Source organism: Homo sapiens, chromosome 2 (assembly GCF_000001405.40).
Source record: "Homo sapiens chromosome 2, GRCh38.p14 Primary Assembly".
Classification (NCBI taxonomy): Eukaryota; Metazoa; Chordata; class Mammalia; order Primates; family Hominidae; genus Homo; species Homo sapiens.
Window position 1 is genome coordinate 163,446,005 of NC_000002.12, and position 12,029 is coordinate 163,458,033.

General features: G+C 37.4%; 2 long non-coding RNA genes across 2 annotated transcripts, besides 1 other annotated feature; one reads left to right on the plus strand and one right to left on the minus strand.

Annotated features, from left to right (window-relative positions):
• Nucleotides 1-1,077: 1,077 nt before the first annotated feature.
• LOC107985829 (uncharacterized) lies at nucleotides 1,078-10,933 on the minus strand. The gene is made up of 2 exons (XR_001739222.2): nucleotides 10,804-10,933; nucleotides 1,078-1,168 (listed from the first exon to the last, which is right to left on the minus strand). It is a non-coding gene; the product is annotated as an uncharacterized LOC107985829 (long non-coding RNA).
• Nucleotides 2,295-2,471: a silencer, noted in NCBI's record as "fragment chr2:164304809-164304985 (GRCh37/hg19 assembly coordinates)". NCBI's record gives its function as "represses an EF-1alpha promoter that drives an FKBP-Casp9 reporter gene in an ReSE screen in HepG2 liver carcinoma cells {active_cell/tissue: HepG2}" and the evidence as "EXISTENCE:reporter gene assay evidence [ECO:0000049][PMID:32094911]".
• On the plus strand, nucleotides 4,802-10,755 carry LOC105373728 (uncharacterized). Its single transcript, XR_923548.3, has 3 exons — nucleotides 4,802-4,843; nucleotides 7,262-7,337; nucleotides 10,509-10,755. It is a non-coding gene; the product is annotated as an uncharacterized LOC105373728 (long non-coding RNA).
• Nucleotides 10,934-12,029: the final 1,096 nt, after the last annotated feature.

The window sequence follows — 12,029 nt, forward strand, 5'->3', positions numbered from 1 at the left end:
ACTGAGTAGCTGGGATTACAGGCATGTGCCAACATGCTCGGCTAATTTTGTATTTTTAATAGAGATGGGGTTTCTCCATGTTGATCAGGCTAGTCTCGATCTCCTGACCTCCTGATCTGCCCGCCTCGGTCTCCCAAATTGCTGGGACTACAGGCATGAGCCACAGCATCTGCCTGCATTCATCTTTTTTGAAAGGAAAGAATAAAAGACAAATAATGAGTTCTTTTAATGCCATTTATGTTTGACACATATTTTGCCACAATTGTGTTTCAAAGATTAATTCAATCCATTCTTCTCTAATCATAACAACAAATAAAGCAAATACATATTTCTAAATTGTAACTTCTAACCATTTAGCATTTTATTGCCTTTTACATTCTTAAAGAGAGTGTTAAATTTCTATTTGTGTTTCTTGGATTTATTTTTAAAGTCTTTTAAAAGAGGACTTTATCTGAAAGCAAATTATCCATTTACACTATGAATCTGTGCAAAAATGTATTTCAGCACAGACATGTGTCAATCACAAAGGACATCATGATAAAAATGCTACCTCAGTTCCATTTCCTAATTAGAAGAAGAGTATTAATATGTTGACACTGGTTTGACTGACATGATTCTCTGCTAAATGCCTGCTAGGCTCATATTTATAATAAATACAGGTAGATGCATTTGCAGTAAAACCAAAGCTTCATTCCGTTTCTTGGATTTTTATTAAAATACAGGCATATCATAAATATTGATTGAAGAAATAACTAGAAATTTGATCTGATGTAATATGATGCAAATTAAGTTTAAACAGTTTGAACTTTGATATTTCTAAATGCATTGCTATATTTTGAATATTTTTATAAGAGATGAAAGTGCTAGGCTAAAAGTAACTCACAAATAGTGTCTACTTTTTCTTCTGAAACTCATCTCTCCCTTTTCACTATTGACAAAAGATATTTATTCTGTATGTTTATAGAGAATATACAGACCTACCCAGCTTTGGACATAAATATTAATCACATAAAAGCTTGCTGGCTAAATTAAATTACACAATATTGTTAAAAGAGCAGCCTCTTTTAGGCATGGTCACTCTCACCTGTAATCTTAGCACTCTGGGAGGGGGAGAATTACTTGAGTTCCGGATTTCAAGATCAGCTTAGGCAACATAGTAAGATTGTCTCTAAAAAAAAAAAAAACAGAAAAGAAAAAAGAATTAACCAACCATAGTAATGTGACCCTGTAGTCCCAGCTACCCTGGAGGCTGAGGCAGGAGGATGGCTTGAGCCCAGGAGTATGAGACTACAGTAAGCCATGCACTCCAGCCTGAATGACAGAGTAAAACCCTGTCTCGAAAAGAAAAATATGAGCAGTCTTTCTAATTTCTGCATACTTAGTAACACCCTTAATATGCCATGACTCATATTAGGTATTTATTTTCTAAATAATGTTAGCTAAGTTATCAAGTCAAAAAGTTAACAGCATAAATGCTTAGAAAACAAAACATAAAGAGTATTAGTAACAAATAAACCATATGTGTCTGCAGTCTAAGCCAGTTATAAATTTTAAAATAGATTTCCTGCACATAAACTTCTTGGCTAATAAAACTACTGAAGGAAACAATATCCAGACTTAGTTTTGCTGTACTTGTTCTGAGAGGCAAGAAGGAACACTGCACAAATTCCTTTTCCTCCTATAATTTGGGATTTCATTTTAAAAGGAAGAATAGGCTGTGTCTTTTCAAAAGAACCCTGGGGTTTCAAATGCGAGATGGGAGGGTGGTGGCCTAAGAGAGAACACTGGGGATGAGTGAAAGTGACAAAAATGTTCCCTTATGTTCTTGACCAAAAGCACCATTAAAACCATTTCTCTCTATTCAGAATAGTTGGGAGAAGGGGGGAGCAGGAAGGGACATCAAAGATCTAAAAAATATGCTGATTTTCTCCTTTGTCTTTCTGTATTAGGTTTTCTTGCCAGCTATAAGCGTGGTTTATGGATTGACAGTTTTGATAAACAAATATTGTGTGAAGCAGGAAGGATAGTGCTCCTAAACAAATGTTATGAAAACCTAATAACTGTACTTTAATTGTAATCATTAAATCATTGATTATCTTTCTGCTGTGTTCTTCAGTTATCTCCACAAATCGTGAGCCCGCAAAGTTAATCCCAGTGGAGTAAATATAAGTGCCCATAACTCAATTATTTTTTTCTGAAAATTTTTTTGTTGCTTACATAAAGAAAGAATTCGTTGCACATATGTTAACACAATATGGGATATATCATGAATAACACAAACATATATGTACACACATATATACACACACATACACACAGACACCACTTGACTCATTGTTGAAACACATTAGAGGGCCAGGAGCGGTGGCTCACGCCTGTAATACCAGAACTTTGGGAGGCCAAGGCGGGCATATCACCTGAGGTCAGGAGTTCGAGACCAACCTGGCCAACATGGAGAAACCCTGTCTCCACTAAAAATAAAAAAATTAGCCCAGTGTAGTGGCATGTGCCTGTAATACTAGCTATTCAGGAGGTTGAGGTGGGAGAATCGCTTGAACCCGGGGGGGCAGAGGTTGCAATGAGCTGACATCACGCCACTGCACTCCAGCCTGGGCAACAGAGTGAGATTCTGTCTCAAGAAAGAAGGGAAGGGAAGGGGAGGGGAGGGGAGGGGAGGCGAGGGGAGGCAAGGGGAGGGGAGGGGAGGGGGAGGAAGAAAGAAAAGAAGGAAAGAAAGAAAGAAAAAGAAAGAAAGAAAGAAAGAAAGAAAGAAAGAAAGAAAGAAAGAAAAGAAAGAAAGAAATCCTCTATGAGAGGCAGTATATCGGTTTGTAGCACAGATTCTAAAGCCAGATTCCTGATTTTGAGTTATATTGGCTTTGCCACAGCCAGCTGTGAGACTTCAGAAAAGTCCCTGAACCTCCATTTCCTCATCTATAAATAAGGATCTTTTTTCTTTTACCAAGGTCATGAAATTATTTTGAGGATCAGTTAAGTCCGTAATATAAAGCACTTTTAATAGTGCCTAGCTTATAGTAAATGCTTGATAAATAGTCTCTACCATGCCAAGTATTATTACTACTGTTATTAATAATTATATTAACACTGCCTCTCAGAGATGAAAGACAGAAGACTTGGCAAATTTCACATATTACATCAGTGACTAGACACTTTGTTCTACAAATAAAAGGATATGAAGCCTAGGGCTAAATGATCAACACATGCATTTCTAAACAAGAAAGAAGAGACCCATGGGGTGTGGTTTGAGGGATATCACAAGTCTTCTCACTCATCTCTGCCACCCTTTCATCATGAACTTGCAGAAGTAATTTAAGGTTTCTGGGACTCAATTTCTACAACTATAAAATAAGAAGCTCTTTCTGCATTCAATGATGTTCTTTTGCAATTATTCAGTAACAATATCTATTTTTACAACAAGCTAAGGCAGGGCTTTTAGATCCTCAACATATAAATGTCTCAAACAAGACATCCATAACTTTTCAGTTTGTACTTTTCTTTCTTGAGCTTTAGAAGAGAGGAGTATAAGAACAGCAATATGGCTTGCATAAAGGGAAGGTGATCAGATTTGCAAAACACAGGGAAGTTATTTTGACACAGAGATGGGGGCCTCTAAACGCAGGCTACACCTGCTTCTCATCAACACTAAGGGCTGGCCTTGCTAGCATTTGAGGATTCTTGGACGTGTAGAAATCTCCTAGCCAACTCACCAAAGAAAGAAAACACCAAGCAAAAAACATTGTCTTCTAGATAACCGACTGTGAAACCTGAGAATCATAATAGTCTCTCTAACTGAATCAAAAATCAAAACTAATAGATGAAGGAATCAGACATTCTTTTCCAGCACCAAATTCGGTTGTGAATAGTGTGTTGTAAAAGACATGGAATAGAAATATCCCATGTTTTTGGCAAAATGAGAAGAGTCAAGCATTCCTGTATGAAGCAGGCCTAATAGTTTGAATATATCACTTGGTTTTCTGAATCACTTCTTGTTGTTTTTCTCTTCCCTAAAGTTTTTCCCTTCCTAAAGTTTTTCCTTCACTAAAGGTGACTACTCCACACCATAACATCTAATATCTCTCTATACCAATAGAGTGTATATTTATATCCTTAATTTATCTCAGGGCGAATACTATATTTTATTCATCGTTGTAATTAAAACGGGTACCTCTTTTAAGATAAATATAAATGAAACAATCAAATCTCACACTTCAACTCAGTCATAATGAGAGGTGAAGCTGGCTGGGCTTCTGGGTCAGGTGGGGACTTGGAGAACTTTTCTGTCTAGCTAAAGGATTGTAAACACACCAATCAGCACTCTGTGTCTAGCTAAAGATTTGTAAACACACCAATCAGCACTCTGTAAAAACACACCAATCAATACTCTGTGTCTAGCTAAAGGTTTGTAAATGCACCAATCAGCACTCTGTAAAACAGACCAATCAGCACTCTGTAAAATGGACCAATCAGCAGGATGTGGGTGGGGCCAAATGAGGGAATAAAAGCTGGCCACACCCAAGCCAGCAGGCAACCTGCTTGGGTCCCCTTCCACGTTGTGGAAGCTGTGTTCTTTTGCTCTTCACAGTAAATCTTGCTGCTGCTCACTCTTTGGGTCCTCACTACCTTTATGAGCTGTAACACCATGAGGGTCTGCAGCTTCACTCCTGAAGTCAGCGAGACCACGAACCCCCCAGGTGGAACGAACAACTCCAGACGCGCCACCTTTAAGAGCTGTAACACTCACTGTGAAGGCCTACGGTTTCACTCCTGAAGTCAGTGAGACCACGAACCCAGACCAACTCCGGACACATCTGAACATCTGAAGGTACAAACTCCGGACACACCATCTTTAAGAACTGTAACACTCACCACGAGGGTCCATGGCTTCATTCTTGAAGTCAGTGAGACCAAGAACCCACCAGAAGGAAACAATTCTGGACACAATAATTCATATTATTATTTATAAAACACATTTTATGGCAATTGAGTAAGGATGTAAAAAAATTGTGAATAGATTATTTTATAGCATATATTTTGGTTAAAAAACTATAGCTACATTTATTTATTTATGTGTTTATTTATTTAGAACCAGAGTCTTGCTCTGTTGCCCAGGCTGGAGTGTAGTGACACAATCTTGGTTCACTGAAACCTCCACCTCCCAGGTTCAAGCTATTCTCCAGCCTCAGCCTCCTGAGTAGCTGGGATTACAGGTTCCCGCCACCATGCCCAGCTAATTTTTGTATTTTTAGTAGAGACGGGATTTCACCGTCTTGGCCAGACTGGTCTTGAACTCCTGACCTCGTGATCCACCTGCCTCAGACTCCCAAAGTGCTGGGATTACAGGTGTGAGCCACTGTGCCCGGCCAGCTACTCTTTTTTTAAGTATAAAGTTATATGAGTAATACAAACATAATTTATTGTTATGAACCCTGATTTTTGACATGCATAAGAGTTTCCTCCAAATGAGATCATTCAGCTTTTATTGGGGGTAGTGTGTGAAATATAAAATGAAACTTATTATTCTTGGCTAAATTTTTCTGGACTTAAGTTGTTTTCTTATGATAAATACATGATTTAAGTCAATGCAGTCAACACAATGGAGGAAACACCAGCCAGATTTGTTAGATTCCTTCTATTGGTTGATTCTTTCAAATATTGCTCTAACTGGACCCTAGAGACAGTGAGACAGTGTTAGAAGGGAAATTTAAAACTAGAAATGAAAGTACACTAAAATTACACAGTATCCACATAACACTTTTGTGGGAATTATTAAAGGTGGATGATGCCACCCCAAGGGCAAAGGCACGATCAGTTGTGAACAGGCTAGACGTAGACTTCCCCTAAGCCCTTCAACCAGTCATCTTTGTGCAGTCCACAACTTATGCAACCTCTGCAGTCCACAACTTGTGCAGCGCTGAAACATTGTGTTGGTTTAGCAAACAAATTAAAGGCAAAGGTTTTCTTTAAAGGTTTATGTTGTAATTAATTAAAATGAGCATGGCTGTCTTCTGAATTCATTTGTCAGAATAATAGCAAATCCAATGAGAGTTTCAAAATATTTCAAAATTTAGAAGATTCCTTGCCACCTGTGCCACTTAGGGGAATGCTTACCTTCACTCAGGCTTTATTTATTTATTTATTTTTTTGAGAATCAGATATGAGGTAAACTGTATAAATATTGGAAAATTTATCCTTTTTATTATTTCCTCATAATAAAAATAAATTTACTCATATGAAATCCATACCTTTTCTACGCTGACATACCATATTGAAAGATTAATTACATACACTTCCACTTGAATTCCAAAACTATAAAAAGTCTATTTATGTGTGCATACACACATATACAATAGGCATTTCTCTCTTTAGAATAAACAATGTTAGAGAATATTCATTATTCAAATCTAGACTCAGAGCTGAATGATCCAAAAATGTTTTATTTCTACATAACATAGACAAGTGTTTAAAACAGAAATTCAATATTTTTAGAAGTTTTCAACCTTGCTGCAAATTAACAAGTTCATGTTTTCATTGTTTCATATAAAAATGAGTGCGGTAACTCATGAAAAATCGTGCTTCATGTGTGATTAAGCTGATTTATCTCTACTTCTAATTCCATTTACTTTAACAAAATGCTAACATTGAAAGAAGGGGGCTTCAGAAGCTGACAAGAAGTTTAGTTTTCAAGGAAAATCACAGGATTGGACTCCATGCTTGTCTACACCATGATCACTGGCATTTACAGGGAGGAATTTGTGCAATGGGCAGGAAGATTATTGCTAACGCTGTCCAGAGATCATGAGGCTTGCATTTAACAAACATAACTTTATACTTTCCAAGGCCAACCTCAGGCTAGGAGTCAGGATATATGCCCTTGGCAATTAAGCTGGAGAAGCAAATTATGGACTGACGTACCATGAAATACCACCAGGCCTTTGAAGAATAGTTCGCTGAAGAATGTGCTAACTAAATGGATACTTAATTGAGACAATAAGATTTCCATGGCAAATTATAACATGCAATTTGCACCATTCATGTATCTGCTGCAAACATTAATAAAGAGGATTATTCTCTAATACTGAAAACAAATCACAAATTGCTAAATCTTAATGAAAAGTACAGGACTTCCCTCTATTGGTGGCCTTTGGAGTTTTGTTCCTTAGACTGGCTTAGCAATCTTCATGCCCAATATTTGACTTCCATTCAATACTGAAGGTGCATACTGATGTTTTTGTATTGGCAGTTCCCTGGTATGACTTAGCTGATAGCTCATCCTTCACAAGAATGCTTACATGAATGGCACCCGAGTTGGAAGGAAAGTGAGTAATCAAAGTGGTTTATAGAGCTCTTATTATTTGCTTTCTGCCCCCTAGGAACTCTTCATTTCACTAACTGATGTCTTCTAGTATCTTGGGAGCAGGGAAGGAAATATATAGATGCCATTTTTACCCCTATCATTACTCCCACTTTGATGCATTCTTAAGCTTATTTCTCACTTCTTATCGTGGCATGAGGGAGTTGAATACATGAAGCTTCTCCATCCCCTCTCTCTACCTTGTTGGCAGACTTACAGAGTCACCCAGGACTCTCCCACGGCTAGGTGAAGACTGCAGTCAGGCTCATCTCACCATTTTCAGCAAAACTTTCCCAAAGTTTAGGCTCAGAAAGTTAATGGCATCATGTTCCCCCTGGCTGAAGAGGGAAGCCTATGGCTATGCCGGGATCCACCCTGATGGGTCCGGTTCTCACCAAAGGGCTCCAGGCTATAGAATTTTCCTTCTTCCTTTCTTATCAAGTTTTCCTCCTAAATCTCATATACCATCTGGGTTCTGATATTAAGCTTGCTAATATCAAAAATTAATTCACACTCAAGTGTTAGGGCTTTACCGCAGTTTATTTTGGTTGAGTGGATGTTTTGATGGCTCCCACTTCTTATATCATTGTATATATAATAGTTCTGTTTAGTGAGCTCCACTCCAAATAGTGTCCTAAGTATGTTGAAAATATGATCTCATCTAATCAAGCACAGAACCACCTCCTTTGCCTACTTGTAAGGTTGGTGTTGGCCCAACAACATGCACACAGTACTTGTTTCTATGTTTATCTTTCATTATCCTGGGTTACAACATTTATCTAACCTGAGTGGTTTAAGAATCACTCTACAAAAATGCTTTCTGTGCCTGTTATGGCCTAACTCTACGTTTCTGTTGATTTTAAAGTAAATGATACATGATTCCTGACTTCAAGGATTTCATTGTTCAGTAAGAGAGAGAGATATGAATTATTACAAGGCGGATGATAGAGGGCCTCAATCCAACTTCTCTTCTAACTCTTCCTGCCAGAGTGAAATTGCTACTTTACTTGTCTGTTTCCTGCCCACCCCCTGATCTATTTGTGGCCCAAAATTGTGTCTTAGCAAATTTGTAACCATATTTCCTAACTTCAGGATCCAAAATATGTTAGATAAGAAAAATAGGTATATCATTCCATATTATGGATAGAGAAACTACTCATAGACTTTGAAGGCTTATTCAAAATCTGAAACTAGAAACATCAGAGTTGGAGTTCAGATCTGAGTCCATTGGCACCCTGTAACATGTTTTTACCTCAACATCCTATCTCTGTTGACATTCCTTTTCAGGAATCAATCCGATAGCAATGTATGTGTAAGCAAGAATACTAAAAGCAAATATACTTATAGTCATTTCTAGTAGTCTACAGATCACCCAGGTGTAAATTATCTACTTTGTGGCTTATCTGTTAAAAATGATTGCTATCAGAGTGGCTACCATTTGCCATCTAATACACCTCTGAGCCTTTTCTCTCTCATTATCACTTTTGCAAGAAATGTAAACTGCTGAGATTCTATTATTAGCTTAGATGCAACATAATTTAAACAATAAATCTGATATACATACCCTTGCCAATTGACAGAATGCCACCTAAGTTTAACATAAATGACTTTCAAAAGATGCACCCCTGCATTAACACAGATAATTTCATTTTAATTTACATTCAGAGATTCTGTTTTGGGTAGGGGTAACTGAGAATATTGGTGTGTATTTTTCTTTCTGAGGCCGCCCACCTCCAGGCGATATTTTATTGCTTTACTCTTGGAGGCTCAAAATCTCATGAAATCCTAGAAGGGAAATCTTGGAAATGCAGCCCTCTCTTTTTTAATTGTCATGGAATGACAGCATTCCATAGAAAGGATTACTAGTAACCTGCCAAAAGTAAAGCTCCCAGGTGAGCAAGAGCATCTTTTCAAACACAGAGAGTAAATTCAATCTTGTCATAAGTGGTCATTTACTCAGGAAACCATTCTCTCTAGTTTCTAGAAATTATTTTTAAGCATATAAACTCCCAGGAATGACTGCAAAAGATCAACAAAGATGAAGCTGCAAAAATTAATCACAAACACACACACACAGGGAGAGAGAGAGAGAGAGAGAGAGAGAGAGAGAGATAAGCCTCTTGTGACTTTAAATAAACAGACAAAACCAAATTTCCATTCCACTTCTTTCATCAAACTTTTCTTATTCCATCCAGATAGACACCCTAAAGGTAGTAATAGTCTCACCAGGCATAGTGCTACCTACAAACCACTAGTAGAGCTTCCATGAAGATTAGGAAGACACAAAGGTTTTTGTCTCTTCAGAACAAAAAGTACATTGCACTTAATAATGAACCTGTCATTTTAAACGTCCAGGTTTCAATTATATAAGTAATAGAGTTTAGAGATGAACTGTTTGTATAATTTTGCCCAGAATTTAGATTTATATTTTGTACTTCTATAAATATTTCCTGAAATGTATTCAAATAGCAAGGTGTTAGTTACATATATTAATATGGCAATTCTAATAGCTATCTGTACAATGCAAACTTTACTAAGCTACTACAGGAATCCCTTTTCATTCAGTACTAGAGACAAACTGGCAAATGTAGATAGTGGCCCAGTTGGTTAATAATTATCTTGCTCTCACTGAGAAAAGTCAGTTATCTCAAGACAAGCACATGCAAATTTGAAGGAATGGGGGAAAGAGAAATGGTGGGGCAATGGAGAGGAAAGAGAAACAGAAAAATAATATAGAAAGTATGTATTCAAGGTTCTTTGTAAGGCTATATGTCTAGGATGAGATAATTGCCCTTCTATTACATGGTTCTGAAGATTACTCAGAAAAGAAAGAATAAATAATCCTAACCTATATACTATAATCACATGCAGCAACTTGTATTCATTATGGAGAATAGAACAAGTAGAGTACCCAAACATAAAAAAAAGACGAGAAAGATAAGAAGCATTCATCAAGCAGTATGTAACTGCCATTTACATCAACTGCCCGCAGAAACATTCCAAAAGCTAATATTTCAGCAACATAAACAAAGTCATAATTAAAAGTTTCAATGTCATATCATGCAGCTCTTTATTTTTAATGTAGTATTTGTTCAACTTAGAGAACTAATAATTTTTCTCTTATTAATGTTTGCAGAAAGATCCAGTGGATCATTTCAGAATTTAGTTTGGCTCTCCCCACACAGGATTTAACCAGGCTGACAGATTCAGCACAGGAAAGTATTTTAATGTAATGATATACCACCACTTCTAGACCCAATGACAAGATGAAAATCCAAGAGCAGGCATAAAACACCTATAAAGAAATGACAGAGCTTGAAGTCAGTGTGAATAATTTCTGAATCATAAATTCACAAAGGGAACAGGGAAAAGAAAGGAGAAAAGGAGAAGCAAAGAGGAGGGGGAAAAGTTGAGTAGCTTGTTCCACCCACCTCAAATGCTGAATTTAAGAGCTTTCTGCACATTCATGTTGCCCAGTGACAGGGCTTCAGGTACATCAAGTGGCCCACAGTTGCAGATGCATTAGAAGCTCTGCTTCAATTGTGTTCAGAGGCCAAGTGTGTACCCAGTTAGGTAATCAGGCTTTTTCATGTTGACTACAGATATCCTCATCACGTGCGCAGTTGTGCATAATGGAAAACATGTAATGTTCACAATGGCTTCCCTCAAACTTCACTTTCCTTTCCCAGATATCTGCTGCCTGTCTTTGCTCCTGAAGTGCATCACCATTTGATGGGAAGCTCTGTAAACCTATATTTAGTGCCTGAGAAACACCCTCTTCTCTCTTTACCCTCAGAATAGCTAAGATCAGCACTTCTGTTAATAGTTTCCAGGTTTGAACTCTAAGCAACTAAGCTACCCTTGGAATTTACTTTTTCTCACAGACAAATAAAGATTGAGGAATACTACGAAATCTATTTTTTATTAGCATGTCCAGATAGAAATTCTCTTGTATCTTTGGCCACTCCATTTCTTCTTGTCAGTGTTAAAACTGGAATTTAGGATGCATATGCTGTTAAAAGATCTGGAATTTATCATAAATGTACAAATTGAGAAATAAAGTGTAATTATGTACCACTATGCACATCTAAAAGAAAAAGCCTGCAGTATAGCCAAATATGATGTTCCTGTTGGCATGTCTAGCCTGGTGGTCCTTTGCATTACTATGCATGTAATATGTTTACAGGGTATGTCATCACCCTCTTCTTGGCAGTAGAAACCAAGCAGAGTCTAAAACATGGGAGACTTTTAATAAATGCCTACCAAATTACATTGAGAAGTCAGTGGCCTCTAAACATATTTGGATCTGACTCTACCTTTTTTCAATATGTTTATTGTGTCTAGTTATGAATATCTACATAGATGTGCCTTTCCTTCTTTTGAACTAGAAGAGAAATAAATAGGGAGGAAAGAGAATTCCGCAACTAATTCCAACCCACTGACTTCATTCCTACTGGTTCCTAGAAATAGGCCAAAAAATAGGAGTAGGCTACCTCCATGCTGACCTGCAAGTTCATTTTAATATTAACTACTATGTCAGGCCATAAGATGACCTAATAAGCACACAATATCTGGAGAGCTAAGCGGAGTTATCCCTCATACCTAAGGCGACTTCTCTCTCTGGATATTTGTATGCTGGATTTGTCTCTGAAGCTAA